The sequence below is a fragment of the Homo sapiens genome, chromosome 21, assembly GCF_000001405.40.
Source record: "Homo sapiens chromosome 21, GRCh38.p14 Primary Assembly".
Taxonomy (NCBI): domain Eukaryota; kingdom Metazoa; phylum Chordata; class Mammalia; order Primates; family Hominidae; genus Homo; species Homo sapiens.
The window spans coordinates 14,370,899-14,393,738 of record NC_000021.9 but is presented as its reverse complement, the minus strand read 5'-3'; the positions used below and the strand labels follow the sequence as shown (position 1 = coordinate 14,393,738).

The following is a 22,840-nucleotide window of genomic DNA, read 5'->3' as shown; positions in this document are numbered from 1 at the left end:
AATAGTAGAAATATTTATGATTAGCTGCCCTAGTACACATTTACTCAATCACTCATTCAACAACATATAATTTCCATGTATCATATATAATCAGAAACATGTATCTCCATGGCATGCTGTGGAAATACTAAAAGGAGCTAGATACGGTCTTAGTCCTTAAGCAGCTGGATCCCCAAGGCTTAGTGAAGAATTTTATCTACATACTTTCATATACACTCTTTATTTACTCTTTTCATTTATGCATTCATTTAATATATTTAAGCATCCACAAGGTATTTAGCACTGTTGTAGGAAGTGAATATACAGCAAAGACCAAGACGACAAAGCTCCGTCTTCCATGATGCCCCATTTCAGAGTCTGTGTTGTACTTCCCTGTTTACTTCTTTTTCTTCCCTGTGTCTTGGGCACATCCACCACCTACCAAAGATTTTTGCACACAGAAACAAATAGTGTAATTAGACAGAAGTAGGAATAGTATGAGTGCCATACTCTTGCATCCAATCTCATGGCAGACATTGTTAATTAATTGTGGCTCTCATTCCCCAAAAGTATGAATATGATCTTAAAATCCTTTTTATCAGTATTTGTACCAGTCAGGACCAATAAAAGGTAATAAACTCATTAAAATTTTGGTCTATTTTAACCACTGAGTGGAATGAAGAAGGCAGGGTACAAGTTACAACTCCCACTTCAACAAATAGAAAAAAATGCATACATCCCAAAGTCAAGTTTGTAAGACATCGAAGTAGGGAGGATGCAAAGAGGACTAAATGAACTGTTTCCAGAGATGGAATATTTCTTGGGAAAGATGAGACCAACAGTTTTCTTCATGGCAGCATTTGCCAAATCTGTGCACATAGTAAAGATTAAGCTTGATTTAAGCAAAGAACTCCTCTAGGAGAAACAGAAACCCTCAGAGCTTTCGGTGGACACTGGCAGGGGAATCTAAAGGAGCCCCAGACATGAGTGCTAAGGTGGTGCAAAGCAGAGAAGGAACTCCTGTTTCTTGAAATGCTTAAAAGATAAAGTCCCTCTAGAGGGAGGGGTCTGCAACAAACACAGGGCATGTCTGTACTTTAGAGAAGGACTAACTTTTTACTTGCGGTGGAATCCAACCCCTATGTGGCTAAATTCCCAGTTGTACTGAGATGATTCGTTCTCAGTCTACCTGCATAAGAGAAAAGGGAAAATCTTGTTTGAGAGGAAAGTAACATCAACCTCTCTCTCTCTATAGTTCTAACATGTATAGAAACGAGGCATCTGAATAAACTGGAAAACGTAACGAAAGAAAATGAAAAAAAATTAGATGATATAAGGACACTTCCTCTTCTCCCTAGCTATGGATATCATTGGACTAAACAGATAAAAGCTTTAAAATAACTAACGAATAAATTTAAATAAAAGAGAATAAACGATGAGCGGAATGAAAGAAAAGACAATTTTAACATACAATTAGAATCAATATAAAAATCAAATGAAACATTCTAGAACTGAAAAATATAAAATACATGAATTAAAAACTCTAGAATGTGTTTAATAGCTGACTAGACACAGTAAAGAAATTATTAGTGTACATAAAGACAGAAAAAAATTCAACTTGAAGACAGAAAAGAAATGGAAAGAAAAGAACTAAGTATTAACAAATATAGGGCAAAAATTAATATAGTACATGGGCAAATACATGCGCAATTGAAATCTCAGAAAAAGAGAAAAGGGACAGAGACAATATTTGAAGAGCTATGGATGAGAATTTTTCCAAATCTGATGAAGGCAACAACCAGAGATCCAAGAATCCCAGTCAGCCTCAAGAGAGACACATGCAAATTAACCATATTTGGCAAAACGTATTTAAACTTCTCAAAAAAAAAAAAGGGGGGGGAGAAACAGATTTTTAAACCAGGCATAGAAAAAAGGCACATCTTCTTCAAAAAGCAAGAATGAGATTTATGGATAATTTTACCAGACAAAAGCAATGGAATGGCATCTTTAAAGTGATAAAAGAAAAAGAGGGAAGAAATTAAAACTGCCAACGCAAATTCTGTATCTAAAGAAAATATTTTTCAAAAGTGAAGATGATATAAAGATATTTTAGCCCCTCCTCAAAAAATGTTGTTGCCAACAAACCAGCACTACAAAAAATATTAATGAAATTTTTCAAGCTGACGGAAAATGGTCAAAAATGAAAACATGAAAGAAATGTTAAATATGTTAAATATGTTTAACATTTAATATTTAACTAGAAATAAAATATAACATTTAATATTTAACTAGAAAAGTTAAATATGTGAGAAAATTTGGAAAATATTGATGCCTTTAAAACAATAGTTGGCCGGGTCCGGTGGCTCAAGCCTGTAATCCCAGCACTTTGGGAGGCCGAGGCGGGCGGATCACAAGGTCAGGAGATCGAGACCATCCTGGCTAACACCATGAAACCTCATCTCTACCAAAAATACAAAAAATTAGCTGGGCGTGGTGGTGGGCACCTGTAGTCCCAGCTACTCGGGAGGCTGAGGCAGGAGAATGGCGTGAACCCGGGGGGCGGAGCCACTGCACTCCAGTCTGGGCGACAGAGCGAGACTCCGTCTCAAAAAAAACGAAGCAAACAAACAAACAAAAAAATAGTAATAATTATTACTTGTAGGGTGTATAACGTAGTACATATACAACATATAACAATAAATATTCAAGGTAGGGAGTGATAAGTAAAAGTGCTGTGAGAGTTTTGCATCCTTCAAGACATGATAAAAGGACTAAATGTAATAAGTCAAAGATATATGTTAAAATCACTACGATAACCACTAAACAATGAAAGAAAAAGATTTTTAACTGAAAAAATAAAAGATATAAAATGGAATAAAAAATACTGAGTGATCTCAAAGACAGCAGGAAAGAAGTAAAAAAAATGATACTTTTTAAATAAAGGAAGATGATAGACTTAAATCCATGCATTGATCTATATCCATAGCTATAGTTAATGTAAATTGACTAAAGACTATAAATAAAAGACATATTATCCTACTGCAAAAACATAAGCCCAACTATATACTATTTACAAGAGACACTATTTAAAAAAAAATCTGTATAAATGTAAGGGGTACAAGTGTAACTTCGTTACATCGATATATATTGCATAGTGGTAAAGTCTAGGCTTTTAGTGTAACCATCATTCAATATCGTACATTGTACCCATTAAGTGATTTCTCATCGCTCACATACCCCACCCTCTCACCCTTTCGAGTTCCCAGTGTCTATTATTCCATACTCTATGTGTATGTGTACACATCATTTAGCTTCCATACAATAAACATGTTAAATATAAGGAGATAAACGGGTGAAGAGATATAGGATAGGGAAAATGTACTTAGGATATACTAACAAAAGAAAGCTGGAGTTACTCTATTAATATCAGACAAATCAGGACTGGAACAAGGGCAAGGAAAGCAAGTGCAACTGCCATAAGAGTGAATGCCTCTTACAGGATGAGGCATTTGGGCACAAAATTTAAGGGGGAGCTTACTCTCAGGGTCCTACAACTGCAGAGTCGGTATCAGAGAGTAGGCATCACCTTAAATTTTGCTGTGTAGTTCTGTTCTGATCCTGGGACAAAGTAGTCTCTAAAACAAAATGTATTATTAAATATAAAAAGGAATATTTCATGCTAATAAAATAATTATAATCTTAAATTTGTATTTGCCTAAAAACAGAGCACACACACACACACACACACACACACACACACACATCAATTGGGAAAATCCACAATCATAGATGGATGTTTTAACCTACAACTCTCAATGACAGATAAAGCATTTAGAACAATAATAAGAACAAAACTAGGATACAGAAGCCGTAAAATACATCTAAATGATAGTTCCAAAATACTACACCCAGAAATGGCAGAACACACATTTTTCACATAGATATGGAATATTCACCAAAACAGAATATATTCTAGACAATAAAACAAGTGTGAATATATTTCAAAGGATTAAAATCATACAGAATATGTTGTCCAACCACAGTATAATTATACTAGAAATCATAACAAAAAGGTAATTAGAAAATCACCAAATGTTTGGAAATTGGGAAGCACACTTCTAAATAACCAATGGTTCAAAGATGAAAAGATAATAGAAATAAGAAAATATAGTAAAGACAGTAATAAGTTAAAGCTTAAATTAAATTAAAGTGGACATAAAATGTTTATGCTATTAGCACATATTGTTTAGGCTATCCACTCGAAGTAGTATTAATGTGTAATTAATTAATATGTGCTCCAAACCTTGATTGATTTTACTTAACAACACGGTTTAGAAACACTTTTTAGAAATACAACAATACAAATGAATTTCATTTTTTGTTATAACTCCACTGTTTGACAGAGCCATAAATGGTTGATTAGGTCATTTCCAATTATTTTTTGGGAAAGAGTCCTGCCATGAGCAATTAAGATGTGTACTTTCATAAGAATATTTATAAATTCCTAGCAGTAGAATACTTAGAATTTCTGGTGTTCTTCTTCACAGTTTTCAGGTATAGAAAATTTTATTTTTCAAAATAACTTTATTTAAGTATAATTTACATAAAATAAAATTCATCCATTTTAACTGTGCAATCTAATGAGTTTGACAGAGATATATTTATATACATAAGTATTTACACAAGGAGATATCTATGTAGAGAAATATAGATCTATATCCATGTGACCACTACCACAGTTAAGATGTGGAACATTTGCATCATTGTAAAAACTTCCCTGGTGCCTCTTCCCAGTCAATCACCTCCTTGCATCTCAGCTATTACTGCCCTGCTTTCTTTCACTGTGTATTAGGTATTTCTTTTCTAGAATTTCCTATACATTTAATCACAGAGTAGAAATTCTTCTGTGCCTGGGTTCTTCTGCTTAGCTCATCATAATGTTATTGTATTCATCAATGATTCCTTTCTGTTGCTGAGTAGTATTCTGTTATATGGATATACCATAATTGGCATCTCCATTTACCTGCTGAATTTGTATTGCTTCTGTTTGGAGGCCATTAGGAACACAGATTCCCAAATCATTCATGTATAAGTCACTGTGTGGACACATTTTAATACTTCTTATGCACAATTGTACAGTAAAACTATTCGCTCAACTGTTAATGGATCTATGATTTAGTTTGTGGCTACTGCAAGAAAAACTGCTACATACATCCTTGCACAATTTTTTTTGATATGGTTTTATTTTTGTTGGTTAAATATCAAGTGAAATTGCTGAGTCATATGGTAAGGATATGTTTACCAACATAAGAAACTGTCAAACTGTTTTTGCAAAGTTAAGGTACCATTTTATAATATTGCTGGTGATGTATAAGAATTCCAGTTGTTCCCTATCTATGTCAACACTTAGTGAATCAACCTTTAAATTTTAGCCATTGTAGTGGACGTGTAGTGGTTTTGTTTGTCCCCAGTGTTAACTATCTTACCATGTGTTTATTGGCTATTAGTATATTTTCTTTTATGAAATCTCTATTACAATCTTACAACCAAATTTTAACTAGGTATTTTCTGTTATATTATTATTTAGTTGTAAGAGTTACTCATAAACTCTAGATACAAGTCTTTTGTTAGATATATGTACTATATTTTCTCAGTTCGTGAGTTGACTTTTCATTTCTTGATGGCATGTAAGAATAGAAATTTTTAATGTTAATGACATTCTATTTATCAACTTTTTTATGATTCATGCTTTTTATTTCACATGTAGGGAATCTTTACCTACAAGAAGATCACAAATATCTTCTCTCATGCGTTTTCCTACAGATTTGTAGTTTGAGTTTTGAGGTCTTACATTTCGATCTATAACTAATTTCAAGTTAATTTTTGTGTATGGTGTGAAGTAAAGGTATCCCAATATTTTGGGGATTTCTGGTATTCTATATAGCGCTTACCTCTTCAGAGCCCTTTGCTGCAACTTCAGCCTCCTTCCAAAACGCCTGAACTCTGGTATGTGTCTTCTATACAAGGCAAGGCCATATACTCTCCTTGGGACTTTCGTCTACACTGTGGTCTTGCATGTGTGTCTCTCAATAAAAATACAGGATGACTATAGACTTTACGTGGTTTATCTCTTTTTTCTCAGGGATCATAGTGTTTCTCTGCCTATTCTCCAAAGTCTGAAACTATTATTTCATCTAATTTTGTGCTGTTTTCCATCTCTTTCTCTGTGGAGAAAGAATAATTCTATTCATTATAATAATGGCTGTAAATGTAAGTCTATGTGCCCTGCATTTTAATCAATATTACCCTTTCAAAATGTACTCCACAAACAGGCCTATCATGAGCAACAGACACATTCACTAGCACTGCTTATCATTATTTAAATATTTTTCCAGTAAGATAGTATATAGTTTCCTAGGGCTGCCATAACAAATTATCACAAACTGCATGGCTTTAAAACAACAAAATGTTATTGTCTCATAGTTTTGGAGATTAGAAGTCCAAAATCAAAATATGAGTTGGGCATGTCCCCTCTAAAACATGCAGGGGAATCCTTTATTGACTCTTCGTAGCTCTGCTGGTTTGTTGACAATCTTTGACGTTCATTGGCTTGTAGCTACATAACTCTAATCACTGCCTTGGTCATCCCATAGCATTCTCCTTGTGTTTCCGTGCCTTTATATGGCCCTTTTCTTATAAGGATACCAGTAATACTGGATTAACAGACCACCCTATTTCTGTGTGACCTCATATTATCTGATTATATGTCCAACAACTTTATTTCCAAATAAAGTCACATTCTGAGGTACAGGGGTTTAGCACTCCAGCATACCTTTTTTGGAGGGGGCCACAATTCAACTGATTACAGATAGGTAGAAATGACATGTTATTATTCTGATTTATGTTTATTTAAGTGTGACTAAGGTAGAATATATTTTCATGTTTGTTGGTTATTTTTATTTTCTATTGTCTATGTCCTTTCTTATTTTTCAATTGAGTTGTACACCTTTATACTCTGAAGGAATTCTCCATAAAGGAATTAAATCTATTATAGATCATGATGTATGTTTAGTATTTCTTCAGTTTGTCATTTGTCTTTTGACTTCATATAAATTCAAATAGGTAATTCTGCCTGCTAGATAATCTTAAATTCTACATAATCAAATTTATCTGTTAAGTTTAGTTTTGCCTTATTTGTTTCTAGGTTTTAAGTCTTAATTTCAAAGACTTCTCCTACCCCTAAGTTAATGAATAAAACTACTTGTAGTTATTTAATTAAACATTTTATCTATTTATATTTATTTTGATGTTAAGGTATAATATCCCTTTTTACATTCAAAGTTATAAATAGCCAACTGCCCTGTTACATTTGTTGAATAATATAGCTTTCATTTATTTTGAAGAGATTGCCACTTTCTTCTTAGGTCTGTTTTATTTTTATTTCTTTTATTTAGTTTTTTGCAATAGGGTTCTTGCTATGCTGCCTAGGCTGGATTCAAAATCCTGGGCTCAGGTGTTCCTTCCACCTCAGTCTCCCGAGTAGCTGGGGCTACAAGCATGTGCTGCTGCTGAGCCTAAAGTCCATTTTCTGTTTCCTCTGTAGTATTAAGTTTGTAGTTTTGTCACTTAACATGCGCAAGGACTATATACCCATTAAATTCTTATCTTAAATATTCCAAATAAATTTTATTGTCATTTTATCAAGTCATAAAATATCCTGCTGGCTTTTTATTTGATATTTCACTGAATTCAAAGATATAAAAAGAACTGGCACCCTTAAAATAATAACCCCCTGGCATACAAATTATGGTCTCCAGATACCACACTTTCTTAATAAAAGAAAGCAGGGTTCCTTAGACATACAGTTAATTATAAGTATGAAACAAAACAAAACAAACAAAAAAAAATAAGAGGATTCTAGATATCTTTTTAGAGCAGGTAGCAAGGCAGTAAGTAAAGCGATTGTGTCAAAAGCATTCATGAGTGAATTTTGAAGAGGCTGCCATCGGCCAAAATTAAAGCAATCTAAGTATCAAGAAGGATAATAATTGCAATGGATTGTAACATAAAACACCAAACAATAACTATAAAAACAACGAATTAATTGGTCACTATTGGAGAATGATAACAATGATTACTTCCCAACCCCAGTGCCTTGACTTTTCTGTTCTTTATAACATTACTGGAATAGTCTCACCAGCATTCTTATCTAAGTATTTCATTGTTCCTCTGATTGTAAACAAACAAGAAGGGATAAGTGGTATCAGTTACTACCCCATTTAGTTGATTTAGATAATGAGATGCGAGACTTTTGAACTGATGAAGTATAGATGAACTTTCTGGACTTTGAGTTCATGCTATAATGGGATGGGACTTTGGTGGATGTTGCATTTTGTATGTGGACAGATGTGAATCTGAGGGGCCACAGAACCATTTTAGTAGGCATAATAAAGGCCTCCTCAAACTGTTAGAACTCGTGAATAGTTACCTTACATGGCAAAACGGACTTTGCAGATATGATAAGTTTACAGGGTTTGAAATGGAGATTACGTTGAGTTGTCCAGATAGGTCCAATGTAAACACATGACATCTAAAATTTGGAAGAGCGATGCAAAAAAATGTCCTCTGTAAAGGACCTGACCCGCTGTTGCTGGCTTTGAAGATGGAGAAAGAGGGTCTCTGAGCTAAGATATGTGTATGGCCTCAGAAACTGGAAACAGCTCTCAGGTTACAGCCAGCAAGAAAATGAAGACCTGAACCCTACAACTGCAAGAAAATGAATTCTGCCAATAACTCAAATTAGCAGGAAACTGATTCTCCCCTAGAACATCCAGAAAGGAATGCAGCTTTGCTAATAACTTGCTTTTAGTTAAGTGAGACCCATACCAAATTTCTGATATACCGAACTGTAAAAATAATAGATTTGAGTTGGTTTAAGACACTAAATTTGTGGTAATTTGTTAAGGCAGAAATAGAAAATGAATACAACCTATTTAGTTCAATCTTAATTCTAAAGGCCTTCTACTCTGAGATCACATAATCTTTACCTGCTTCTTGAACAAATCAGGATCTTGTTAGCAAGGAGAAAGGAGTGAGTGGCAGGGAGAATCCCAATGACCAGTGCTTGTCACAGACGGCTAATCTTAATCTGGTTTAAGTCTCTAGTTCTGTCTCTCAGAATTCTACCTCATGCTTTATGATCCACCACTTTCTAATCTATGGAATAGATGATCTCTTGCTTCTGTGCTCTTGGTAATTGAGTTCCGTCTGCCTGGAACACCTCCAGCCCACTGCCCATTACAAGTAATACTTAAGAACTAAGTGCTTGAATTCTTCACTCCTTATAAGAATCTTATTGAACAGCACTCACTATAGACACACACTTTTTATATTTCGCATTATGAAATACTTAAAAATGCGCAAAAGTAGAGAGAACATTACAATGGATCCCTATCAACCAGAATTCAGCTTCCATAATCAAAATTCACATTGATAAGTCAGAAATAACCAGCAATGTATTCCCACAGCAGGCTGACGTGTTGTCAACAGGGATGGTTTGATTTATATCTAAGCTGAGAAAATGGATTCAATTCTCCAGGATCTTAGTTATCGTGAACTCTAACAGCAAAAATGACAAAACCACTCTCAGAGGAGTCATTAAGTGCTACCAGTGACCAAGATGCGAGAAAAATCCTACTTCAGACTAGAACCTGAACAGCATGTCACAAGCGTCCTAAAATGGCTGTCACGTTACAGGACTTGCCCATAAGGTCAATTTTGGCCACTTAAGACTTACTTGAAGAGAGAGCTAAGGGTTTTCTTTTTAATTTCGTTTTTGTTTTTGTTTTTAATGGCCCACGTCAGTGCTAGCAATAGAGAAAATGTGTCCCTGATCCCTTGGATAAATCGAATTGACTGAAGAATGCTTGAATTCATTTATCCCAAAACAAAGGCAGACGGCTGAGGGTCACTGGAGTTTCAGGGCTGCTCCCAGCGTTGGAGCACGGACGCCAGAGCCGACTTCCCTCAGGCCCCGCACTGCGGCAGGGACCCTTCTACGGAGGATGGCTGGGGCTCCGGGAGGCTATAGGAACGCCATCTAGAAGCTAGATCTCAGGCAAACGAACGCGCTTTAAAAGGAATTAAAACGAAAGAACACAAACTCGAATCCTGGACCTGATTAGGGGCACGACCAAAGAAAGAAATAACTAACGGTTCTCACCCTCCCTTTCATTCCCTCCCGCGGAAAGAGAAAGGCTGGAACTCCGCTTCCCAGAATGCAAAGCGCGGGGCGGGGCTAAAGAGATAGCCTGTTTTCCCTCAAGTAGGATCGCGGGACCACAGGTTTGATTATAAACGCCAGTCTCTCGCCACGGCGCTCCTCCCCCTCAGTCTCACTGGTCCTGCCGGCCGTTGCGTGGAAGGGGGACTCAGTCGTCACTGGCAGCGGTTGAATGGAGGCTCTTTGCCCCGCGCCCTCACGGTAGATGAAGTCCTTGCTTTGGTCAGAGCGATAGCTTCTCCGATTGCCTCAGAGCAAGCGGACTACATTTCCCAGGGGGCTGCGGGACTGCCGGGAGGAGTGGGGGCGGTGCCTCACGTCTGGTACAGTCATCACAAGCCTGTTCGGCGGGACTGTGATGGCCAGAGAGATGACGATCTTAGGTGGGTTCCCGGGGGTCCTTGTTGCTCTTGCGGGCGTAGAGGCGATCTGAGGATGCCAGAGTGGGCAGGGGTGGTTGACTCACCTCCTGGATCTAGCTGGAGCAGCGGAAGGGGAGTCAGAAAGGTGACTTAGAGACGGTTTTCGGCTGTTCGGAGTGGATGGGGGCGGGGACGCCTCTAGGAGGGCCCCGGCCCCTGCAGGCCAAGGTAGGATAGACGGCGACCAGCTGTGTCCATCCCAGGGACATCAGGCTTAGGGAGGCGTTCCTTTCAACAGCACCTAGGTTTTTGAATTGCCTGTTGAATTGGGGCAAGCTATGGAAGGCTGCGAGAACGTGCACCTCCAGGACCCCTTTGTGGAGGAAGGGGGAGGAGCTACATCCGGATCTGTCGGCTCAGGGATGCTGAATTTGGAGGCTTTTTCCATCACATCGGGTTTGGAATTACCTATCCCCCACCCACACACACACCCACCCCGCGTCTCCAAGGTGATGAAATGCTTCTGAAATGTTGCCTGTAGCTGGAAGTGGAAAGTGGGATTCGCACTTGGTTTTATTTCTTTGAGTTATGTGTTGATGAGGATGAGCTAACAATTAGTAACACAGAGCCCTGAAAATTCATGTTTTGGGTCATATGTAATATGAGCGGACACAGGTGTATAACACAGCCTCCTGATACCAAATACGAGATTCATTAAAAACTAAAGGGGCATCTTTCTTCGCTTATGTTTACAATCTGCGTGGCATTTGTTCCTACTCTTTTTTCTTTTTTTTTTAAATTAGTATTTGTTGGGCATCTGCTATTCCTGGTCTGGGGGATACAACAGTGAACGAAACTTGTCTTCAAGAAGCTTTCATAGATGTTGCCGTCAGGGTTGCCCACCTTTATGCTTCTTCTCCCCTAAATATTACCACTGCAAGAAGGAAGTCCCTAGTTCATACTTAAATACATAAAAAGTTAACTGTGTTCTGTTTTGAAGTGACAGTTTCATATCTAAGGAACTTTCAAAATCATTTTATCCCATTTATTCATTTCATCCTTTTGAAAGGGAAAAGGAGGTGAGATACGAGGAGAGAATTTTAGACTTATAAAATAATAAAGTTTTTCTTGTGAGAATTTTAATAATGGAGCTTTTAAAAAAAGATAATCGAAGCTTTTTATAAAGCTGTAAAATCTAAATATCAATTGATCAAGAATATTAGATTATATCTGGCTTTTGCTCCAGATAAATGTTGTTTCTTGTCAGCATCTGCACAAATATTATTGAAATATTTTTACATTTTATTACATTTATTAGAGAATGACACAAACATACAGTTATAGGGTTTTTTGTTGTTTGTGTTTACTTCATTTTAAATTTTATTATAACCAGTTTACATTTTGAAAAACTTGCTGTCTGAGAGGAGTGCTATCAGCAGTCCTATAAAAAATTTTGAAATTTGTCTTTTTTAGCCTTGTTTCAACGAGTGATATTAAAGGGACTTTGCTACAGTAATTTAGTACATTGTACTAGTTTGATAAAATACATCTTTTAATTTTCCTTTATTTCAGGATCGGCTGTTTTGACTCTCCTGTTGGCCGGCTATTTGGCACAACAGTATTTACCATTGCCTACTCCTAAAGTGATTGGTATTGATCTTGGCACCACCTATTGTTCTGTTGGGGTGTTTTTTCCTGGCACAGGAAAAGTAAAGGTGATTCCAGATGAAAATGGGCATATCAGCATACCCAGCATGGTGTCTTTTACTGACAATGATGTATATGTGGGATATGAAAGCGTAGAGCTGGCAGATTCAAATCCTCAAAACACAATATATGATGCCAAAAGATTCATAGGCAAGATTTTTACCGCAGAAGAGTTGGAGGCTGAAATTGGCAGATACCCATTTAAGGTAAGTGATTAATCTAAAATCTATATTAATTTTAGTGTACTCTTTTAGTTAATGCTTTGGCTTCATGTCACAAAACATTCTATCTCGTCTAGTTTTATCTATTAATACATGAAAGTTCTGTTATCTCACATAACCAGAAATTCCACAGCAGCTATAGGATCAGTTAATCACTGACTCCATAATGCTAACAGGTACTTAAGGCCTTGCCATTTTCTTGCTGTCCCATCCTCAGCATGTCTTGCTTAGCTCTTTCAAGGTAGCAGGAAGGTTGATGAAGCCCTGTGTACCATAGATAGATATTCTGTGTGTGTATGTGTACATATTTATATACATATAAAGAGAACATACCAGGTGTGCTATTTTTTGCTATTTAATATGTCATGGATAATTAATAGGATCATGTCATTATCTTTAATGATTTTGTGGAATGACTATTCCATTATTAATTAGACTAGTCTCTATCAGTGTACTTTTTTGTGGTTTTTCACTAATGTTGGAGATTCCGGTAATATCCTTACTTATCTTTGTACACTTCTCTGAAAGTTTCCTAACTTGAATGCTAGAAGTCTAATTGATAGGTCAAATGTGTACGTTTTTAAGGCTTTTGATTTATTTTTCTGGTTTGCTCACCAGAAAGGTTATATGCTCTTAACCATAATTTTTTAGAGTGGCTGTATCTTCGCTAGTTATTTTTTTTAATCTTTAACAGTCAGATAAGTGAAAAATAGTATCCTGTATTAATTTTTATTTATTTTGATTTTTTTTAGTGAGATCAGAATTTTTAGAATTTTATTGATATTTTAATTTTCTTTTATGGTCCATTTTTCTTTGTCCTTTTTTGTTTTGGTGTGTTTTTCTTTTCCTTAGTGAGCTATAAAAGACCTTCATTATATGTTTTTGTTATCTTTTCCTTACCTTTTTTTTTTCACTGATGTTTTTGAGCTGGATGTCAAAGTTTTAAATTTTTGATTTTAGACTCTTATCATGTTTACTGTAGCCTATCCCATCCTATCCACTGCTACTTTTTTTTCCCTCTTAATACGTTTATGTATTTGTTGGTTTGGATTTCGCTGCTTTTTTTTTCTTTTAAACATTTAAAGCTTTTTTCCATGTGGAGTTTTTCTTGGAAGTTATGAAGTGAAATTCTAAATGAAGTGAAATTCTAAATGAATTAGTTTTTGTTTTTTTTTTTGAGACAGTCTCATTCTGTCTCTCAGGCTGGAATGCAATGGCATGATCTTGGCTCACTGCAACCTCTGCCTCCCAGGTTCAAGTGATTCTCCTCCCTCAGCCTCCCAAGCTGGCATTACAGGCGTGTGCCACCACGCCTGGCTAATTTTTGTATTTTTAGTAGAGACGGGATTTCACCATGCCGGCCATTATTTAGTTTCAAAATAGACAGTTGTATCAGTGCTGCTTATTGAATAAACCTAGCCATAAAAATGTTCAAATTTTTCATCCGTTTTCAAAGAAAAAAAAATTGCTCCCTGCATTTCTTAGGTTTATTACTTTGTTGTTTTTTGACTTCTTTTTTGGGATTCTTTACTGACTTACAATCTTTAATGAAAAAATCATCTAAAGCTATATATGCCCTCTGAATTACAGCTTTGGGTACGTTACTTATTGACCCAAAAACTACTTAATGTTTCTAAGTGATCTGATTTTTTTGTTGTTGTTTTTGTTTCATGTGGGCACTGATGGTTCTGGTATATTTGTATCTTAGTTTAATATTGTCCATGTAGCTTCTTTATGTTTTCCCCAGACTAGTGAAGTACTTTTTGGAAGGTCAGTTTTTCATGATGGAAACCTAACTATGAGGCCTGAAGTGAGAAAACATTCTTATAATTTCTTAGATTAATTCTCTTTTTTATTTATATTAATAGAATCTTGGTAAAACTAGGATAGTATTTTTTAGAGTTAAAATAGTTTTTTAAATGTACACCCACATTATCGGGGACAATGAGCTAATGCACAATACATGTTTTCATGGGAAACAAGAATGTAAATGAGATTTGATTCTTGGATAAGTACATAATGATGTACTAAAATTATTCTTGTTAATATGTACTAGAAAATTCTTTCAGCTATCCATTACTCTTAGAAACAAGAAATTTGGGAAAAAAAGGGAAAAGATTCTGAGTTACATACTTGAATGAGCAACTTTTATTTCTTACATTTCATCATTTATTCTTTCTTTATTCAGCAAAAATATATTGAGAATCTTTTGTGTTCTAGTCATGTGCGTGGTGATGAATTTTATTCTGCTGTTATTAAAAACTAGTGTGGGCCAAGCACGGTGGCTTTCACCTGTAATCCCAGCACTTTGGGAGGCTGAGGTGAGCGGATCACAAGGTCAGGAGTTCAAGACCAACCTGGCCAACATAGTGAAACCCTGTCTCTACTAAAAATACAAAAATTAACCAGGCATGGTGGCACGCATCTGTACTCCCAGCCACTTGGGAAGCTGAGGCAGGAGAATCGCTTGAACCCAGGAGGCGGAGGTTGTGGTGAGCCGAGATCATGCCACCGCACTCCAGCGTGGGCAACAGAGCAAGACTCCATCTCAAAAAAAAAAAAAGTAAAACTAATATGGATTCATTGTACAGATTTTAATGTATAACATTTAACAAGTTCTAATCTTGGTAAATGTACTAGATAGATTTCAAATGCATTTTTTGATTTTGTAAAGATAAGGGTAAGTTCTCATGAAATCTAGTATTTATGTATATATGTATGTCTGTATGCTTTTACTCTTTTATTTATTTACTTATTTGCAAATCCTATTCACAGGTTTTAAACAAAAATGGAATGGTTGAGTTTTCTGTGACAAGTAATGAGACCATCACAGTGTCCCCAGAATATGTTGGCTCTCGACTATTGTTGAAGTTAAAGGAAATGGCAGAGGCATATCTTGGAATGCCAGTTGCCAATGCTGTCATTTCTGTACCAGCAGAATTTGATCTAAAACAGAGAAATTCAACAATTGAAGCTGCTAACCTTGCAGGTAACAGTACCCTTGACTGAGATGCATTTTTCTCAAAATTGTGTTGGGTTGAAAACCTTCTGTAGTAAGGTTTACCACTTCCCAAACCACACAACCATAGTCAAAATAAACAAACTATATGGTAGGTGTATTAGGGTTCTCTAGAGGGACAGGACTGATAGTATATATGTGTATATGAAAGGGATTTTATTAAGGTGTATTGACTCACACTATCACAGGGTGAAGTCCCACAGTAGGCTGGCTGCAAGCTGAGGAGCAAGGAAGCCAGTCTGAGTCCCAAAACCTCAAAAGTAGGGAAGCCAACTGTGCAGCTTTTAGTCTATGGCCGAAGGCCCGAGAGCCCTTGGCAAACCACTGGTGTAGGTACAAGAGTCCAAAAGCTAAAGAACTTAGAGTCCGATGTTCAAGGGCAGGAAGCGTCCAGCACGGGAGAAAGATGGAGGCCAGAAGACTCAGGCAGTCTAATCCTCCGACATTCTTCTGCCTGCTTTTATTCCAGGCACACTCTGGCAGCTGATTAGATGGTGCCCACCCAGATTGAGGGTGGATCTGCCTCTGCCAGTCCACTGACTCAAATGTTACTCTCCTTTGGCAATACCCTCACAGACACACCCAGGAACAATACTTTGCATCCATCAATCCAATCAAGATGATAATATTAACCATCAATGTAGGTAAAGTAGATAGATTTTTATACAGGTTTATAATTTTGAAAGCTCTATAGCACAATATAAAATATGTATTTAACAAGAACCAATCAGATGCTACAGGACAAAGGCTCAAAGAGAAAATGGACACATGTTAGCAGTGAGGAATTCTTTCTTCTAAATTCCGTTAATGTTAAGGTGAATATAATTTTTTAAGTAAAATCTGAGATAGATCATTTAATGATTTAACATTTAATGCCATTGAACCAATATTGAGGGCCTTACTAAAAAAAGAAAGAAATCTTTGTTCTCATGGAACTTATGTTCTACCAGAGGGAAACACAGAATGAGCATAAAAGGTAAATTTAATAATGTTTTCAGCCTCTACATTACTGATATTTTGGGCCAGATAATTCTTTATTGTGGAGGACTGTCCTGTAAACTACAAAATATTTAACAGCGTCCCTAGCCTCTATTCACCAGATGCTAGCAGCGCCCTCCTCCACCAAGTGGTGACAATGAAAAATGTCTCCATATGTTGCCAGATTTCTTCTGGAGGTAAAATCCTGTCTTGTTGAGAGCCACTGATACAATGTATATCAGAAAGTAACCACTATGAAGAAAAGAGCAGGCTAATGGGTCAAGGTTGCTTTTGGTGGTCAGGGGATGGATGACTTGTAGAATTTAAATAGGGTGATCAGGCAAACCTCATTGAGAAAGTAACATTTAAGCACATTTGAAGAAAGCAAAATACTTAACCATGCAGACGCATGGAGAAAGTGTGTTGTAGGAAGAAGAGATGGCCACTGCAACAGCCATAAGCTGGGAATTTGCTGGTACATAGAGGATAGGAAGTTGGTCAGTGTGGCCAGAGTAGAATAAGTGGTAAAATCAGAGAGCTGAAGTGAAGGGTGTTATGATCTCTGGAATAATTCTTTAGAGTTTGAATGTTGTCATAGCTCCTGATACATAATGCCATACTACTTTGCATACCGCTCATAAGTATGGCATTTAGTTTAAAGCAGGAATTTCATTCAAAGAAACCTGATCTTTTACCTGCTCAACATAAGCCTCTTTAATTTCCATAGCACTTAGTGATAGTATATAATGATTAAATTTTTTATTTTTTTTTATTTTTTGAGACGGAGTCTCACTCTGCTGCCCAGGCTGGAGTACAGTGGCGCGATCTCGGCTCACTGCAAGCTCCGCCTCCCGGGTTCACGCCATTCTCCCGCCTCAGCCTCCCTAGTAGCTGGGACTACGGGCGCCCGCCACCACGCCCGGCTCATTTTTTATATTTTTAGTAGAGACGGGGTTTCACCGTGTTAGCCAGGAGGGTCTCTTGATCTCCTGACCTCGTGATCCGCCCACCTCGGCATAATGATTAAATTTTTATCGCTCATATATTCCAAAGTAGAATATGAATGTTAGAAAAGGCTGGGAGACTTTTTGAAAATTAAGTGTTAATTAATAAAGAGTAGAATGACTTATTGCACTGAACCTTGGATTTTATTTCTTTATATTGTAATCTTTCAGAATAATTTTAAAGATAGCATTTAGAAGAGCCTATGTTTACTGTTCCCATTTCATGCTTCTGTTCGGTTTGTGACTGCTCTCATTATTACTCAGTGGTGGAGTTCATGTCACAGAAGACACAAACATGCTGTAAGTGGGAAGAGATTACTTGATCGCATCCTCTCATGAATTTTTCTTCCCTTAACCAATCTTACAGGACTGAAGATTTTGAGGGTAATAAATGAACCCACAGCAGCAGCTATGGCCTATGGTCTCCACAAGGCTGACGTCTTCCACGTCTTGGTGATAGACTTGGGCGGAGGAACTCTAGATGTGTCTTTACTGAATAAACAAGGAGGGATGTTTCTAACCCGAGCAATGTCTGGTAAGAAAAATGCAGGGAGAGGCTGGGCGCAGTGGCTCACGCCTGTAATCCCAGCACTTTGGGAGGCCGAGGCGGGTGGATCACGAGATGGGGAGATCGAGACCATCCTGGCTAACACGGTGAAACCCTGTCTCTACTAAAAAAAAAAAAAAAAAAAAAATTACAGAAAAATGCAGGGAGAGTTGAAGAGGTTTGGGCAGTGCTTTCTTTAACATATCCAATGTGTAATGCATCCTTTTTTTCCCCCAGAATTCTTTGACTTCATTTTGATAGTTTTCTGTATATGTAATTTTATACCATTTGTATATATTTACAGCAAAAAGTTAAATCTCAAAAAATGCTGGGCATCCTATAAGTCGCATAAATACATTGCCAGTTACCCAATTACGGCTCACATAGCCAGTAGGACTTTTCATGGTGATGGTGAAGAAAGGGAACAGAGGGAAGAAAAATTTCTTTAAAATGAAGGGTGATCAGTATATTTCATTTAATATGTTTTATAAAGTAGATGTCTTTAGAAAGTCTAATTGTATTTTTCCCTAGGAAATGATAGGATTATGCATTCTAAACCCTTTTTTAAACGTTTTTATTTTGTCGAATTTAGCTTAAGGGATTCAACCTGTTTGACACGTTGAGTTGTAAGTTACAGGTATTCTAACCTCTGCATTTTTTTTTCTCTTTTTCTAATCAAGTTAAATACCAGGAAATTATATTACACTACTCTTTTCCTTTGAAATTATTTATCTAGTTTTCAGGTAGAAAAGTAGAAAGACCTTTTCAGGTCCTAATCAGGCAAGAAAAAATGAAAGGAAAAAAAGAGATTAAATACCTACTTTTTCATTATAAGAAGCACTTTCTTCTGTTGAGAATGACATTCAGTGTTTTTAAATAGCTACTTATAAGCCAATCTGTATTCTTAATCTCTATTTACTGAAAAATTATTTGATATTGTGAAGAGATACTTCCTTTTATATAATTTAAAATTTTGACCCTGATGTGCACTAGTTTTTAAATAGTACTTATTTGGGTTAAGATAGCTTTAACCCAGTCATTATTTTTTAAATTTTTATTTATTGATTTATTTTATAGAGGCAGGGTCTTGCTATGTTACCCAGTCTGGTCTCCAACTCCTGGCCTCAAGCAACCCTCCCACCTCAGCCTTCCAAAGTTCTAGGATTACAGGTGTGAGACACCATGCCCAGCAACACAGTTATTTTTAACCAGTCTCTGTATGAATAAAATTGTAATGATACATGAAACAGGGATTTGTTATTCCCAGAATATAATTTTTACGTATACATAATAACATACGTGTATACATACACACATATATGCATAACTATATTAAACTTTTATTTTTCACTCAGGAAACAATAAACTTGGAGGACAGGACTTCAATCAGAGATTGCTTCAGTACTTATATAAACAGATCTATCAAACATATGGCTTCGTGCCCTCTAGGAAAGAGGAAATCCACAGATTGAGACAAGCTGTGGAAATGGTCAAATTAAATCTGACTCTTCATCAATCTGCTCAGTTGTCAGTATTACTAACGGTGGAGGAGCAGGACAGGAAGGAACCTCACAGTAGTGACACTGAACTGCCAAAAGACAAACTTTCCTCAGCAGATGACCATCGCGTGAACAGTGGGTTTGGACGTGGCCTTTCTGATAAGAAAAGTGGAGAAAGTCAGGTTTTATTTGAAACAGAAATATCACGGAAACTCTTTGATACCCTTAATGAAGACCTCTTTCAGAAAATACTGGTACCCATTCAGCAAGTATTGAAAGAAGGCCACCTGGAAAAGACTGAGATTGATGAGGTGGTTTTAGTTGGGGGCTCCACTCGTATTCCTCGGATCCGTCAAGTCATTCAAGAGTTCTTTGGAAAAGATCCCAACACATCTGTAGACCCTGACCTAGCAGTAGTAACGGGAGTGGCTATCCAAGCAGGGATTGATGGAGGCTCTTGGCCTCTCCAAGTCAGTGCTTTAGAAATTCCCAATAAGCATTTACAAAAAACCAACTTCAACTGAATTCTGCAGAAATAATGGTTATTTGTGAACTTGTCTGATGATCTCTTCCCATTTATCAGATTACCTTTTCCACAAAAGAAAGTCTCTAAAATATCACAGATTTACCTAGAGGGCAACATTTAGATACAGGAAAATTTTACATAGTGTTTTGTCTTAGGATTAGACGTGACCAGATTGATCCTGTTTGATTTTGGAGAGATCCTATTCTAACAAATACTCTAAAATGATAAAATTGAGGTACAACTCTCTTAAAAGAGTATGGATAACTATATTTTCTGGATTCTGGAGGTTGATAACCATATGCACTTAACATTATATTCTATAAACATTAAGTAGTGCCAGTTATGAGATTCCCAGTTCTTACTAAATTGTATTAGCAGGAGCTGGTAATTACTTGTATTATCACATGTAACTAATAATTTGAACTATACTTGAAGGACCGTGTTGATGTCAGGTATTTACAGTGGTTGGAAGATAGCAGTATTATTAGCATAAGCTGCATACGTAATATTCAGTAACTGCCATATTATATAACAAATTTACATTCACAAATTCAGTATCCTGTTAAGTGTCATATTCTTGTAATCTGCATTCTCCAGGAGTTTTATGTGTTTAATAGATGAATTTATTTTATTTCTAAAGGTATTCAAATGTTTCAGCACCATATAATAGAAATACCCAATTATATTCTAGTTCCTTTATGTCCTGTACATCATTCTCTGCTTGGATTTCCATTATTCTGTTTGGTTAGAGAATAAAATTGGTAATTGCATTTGAAGAATGTGTTAATGTCATAATAAAGCCATGATTGCTATCTTATTTTTGTTATCCGAGACCTTTGCAAACATTGGCAAATAGCATCAATTACCTACTGTATTTGTTTCTTTGTTTATATTTTCAGTAAGCCCTGGGGAATATAGCATGGAATTGAGCTACTAAATGGTTTTGGTTCCGTTTTACGGAGATTTTTCCTCATATTTAGTTTTGAATGAGGAAAATGTGCTCAATTATAAAAGCTGTGTTATTGTTTTCTATTATTATTTTTAAATAATCACACTTGGACTCTTTTCAAACATTAGGTTAGTTTGTAATGAAAGCAAAAAATTTGTGAATACTGGAAGTAACGTGGAAATCTAATGTGGAAGCCATTGTGGCAAGGTTTCTACAAATCGGCATTTGGAGCAGAGTTGTTTGTTTTTGTTGTTTGTTTCCTTTAAGAAAAACCACAGGGACCAAGAAAGAAAATATAACAGTTTGATTTCTGTCATACCCATTGTATTTGAAGATATATGGATACAGATTATATATATATATACATATTTTCCTTAATAGAGGAATGCTTCATATTATTCAAAAATTATATCCTGATCACCTTTTTTTGTTTTTTATTGTAAAGTATCTCTGCTTTATCCATTGCTGAATTCGATAGGATGTTGAAATGCTGGTCACCAAAAAAGGAAACTGAGCAAATTCATTTCAACAACATCAAAACTTCAGCTTCTCATAGTAAAAAGCTGAATGTTACTAATATTTTTCATATCTAAAAAAAAATTCTTAGCAATGAAATTGCTGTTAAAACACAAATTTCAATCAAATACTTTTGTGTATAGAAAATATGTATAGTAGGTAGATAGAAAAGTATAAAATGTTTGTTGAAGTATCTTATTTTAGAATGAATGGAGAAATGCCAAAGATGAATCCTTCACTGCATTATGAAAATATTTCACATGTTCTCTTGGACTTTATATAAATCTGTAATAGATTTTAGAATTGAAAAATTCTTTGTGAAGGTCTTCTAAAAGTGTTCCAATTTATCTCAAAATCTCCATATATAGGATCAGCTTAAAACATAAAGAAAACCTTGAATTTCTCAAATGTTTGAGATGTTCAAGACAGTCTCTTAATCCGTTAATGCTTTTGGAAACAATTGACAAAATAGGGCAGGCAGCTCATCTCATGTCCTGAAGTTGGAATTTAAATAATTCCTATTTGCAAATTAGAATGACAGTGTTGGAATTTGGAGGCAGTAGTTGAGCATATTCTCTAGTATATAGCTACACCTTTAATAAAATGAAGGAATGTCTTCAATCATATTTTAGTGGGCTATTTATAAATAGTCTTGAAGTCAATTTAGTTTATTTATTTAAAAGATAATGCATCCTGAAAGGGATCATTTATGAATAACAATCTGAAGTCTTTTCATAAAAAAAATTAATAAACTTTAGTTGTACATTTAGCCAGTGTTATTTGAAGTATGTAACTTTTAAAATATTAAGTGTCTTGTATGATTAGAATATGTGAATGAGTAACTTATTTTGTATCAGGAATGTTTTGGTACTGTGTTTTCACTCAAACCACTGACTTAACAGATACTGCTGTGTATAACATGTACTAAATATTACAGTTATTGTGCATAACAGATTGTTCCTCTTATATTTGTGTGTATACAGGCAATTCATGTTTTAATGTAAATAAATACCATTTTGCAGTTTGTTTTTTAAACTATGTACTTTTTCATTCAGGACTAGTCTGGAGTATACTTTTCAGGCATATAAATAAGAAAGTGAGGATGGAACTGATTTGATGCCAAGGCACTCAATCTCAGTAGCTGTTGCCTAGTTGTTCCCGAAATGTACATTTCTCTATATCCTTTCTATTGCTTATATGCTTTCCACTGGCTTCTCTAATTTAGAAAAGACAACTTGTAGCATATGAACA

At 35.9% G+C, this 22,840-nt stretch overlaps 1 protein-coding gene and 1 long non-coding RNA gene across 3 annotated transcripts, besides 2 other annotated features; one reads left to right on the top strand and one right to left on the bottom strand.

Annotated features, from left to right (window-relative positions):
• Positions 1–201: 201 nt before the first annotated feature.
• Positions 202–10,973, bottom strand: LOC105369304 (uncharacterized). 2 transcript variants are annotated; one of them, XR_007067924.1, is made up of 2 exons: positions 5,931–10,973; positions 202–417 (listed from the first exon to the last, which is right to left on the bottom strand). It is a non-coding gene; the product is annotated as an uncharacterized LOC105369304 (long non-coding RNA). The 2 variants fall into 2 exon arrangements; XR_001754959.3 differs by having other exon boundaries at positions 10,202–10,973.
• Positions 10,057–10,186: an enhancer, noted in NCBI's record as "active region_18271". NCBI's record gives its function as "activates an Ori minimal core promoter by ATAC-STARR-seq in GM12878 lymphoblastoid cells {active_cell/tissue: GM12878}" and the evidence as "EXISTENCE:reporter gene assay evidence [ECO:0000049][PMID:35858748]".
• Positions 10,577–10,886: an enhancer, noted in NCBI's record as "active region_18270". NCBI's record gives its function as "activates an Ori minimal core promoter by ATAC-STARR-seq in GM12878 lymphoblastoid cells {active_cell/tissue: GM12878}" and the evidence as "EXISTENCE:reporter gene assay evidence [ECO:0000049][PMID:35858748]".
• Positions 10,593–22,624, top strand: HSPA13 (heat shock protein family A (Hsp70) member 13). The gene is made up of 5 exons (NM_006948.5): positions 10,593–10,644; positions 12,196–12,536; positions 15,327–15,540; positions 17,920–18,087; positions 19,455–22,624. The coding sequence occupies exons 1-5, from the start codon at positions 10,620–10,622 to the stop codon at positions 20,120–20,122; spliced, it is 1,416 nt and encodes a 471-aa protein (NP_008879.3). The 5' UTR covers positions 10,593–10,619; the 3' UTR covers positions 20,123–22,624.
• The last annotated feature ends 216 nt before the right edge of the window (positions 22,625–22,840 follow it).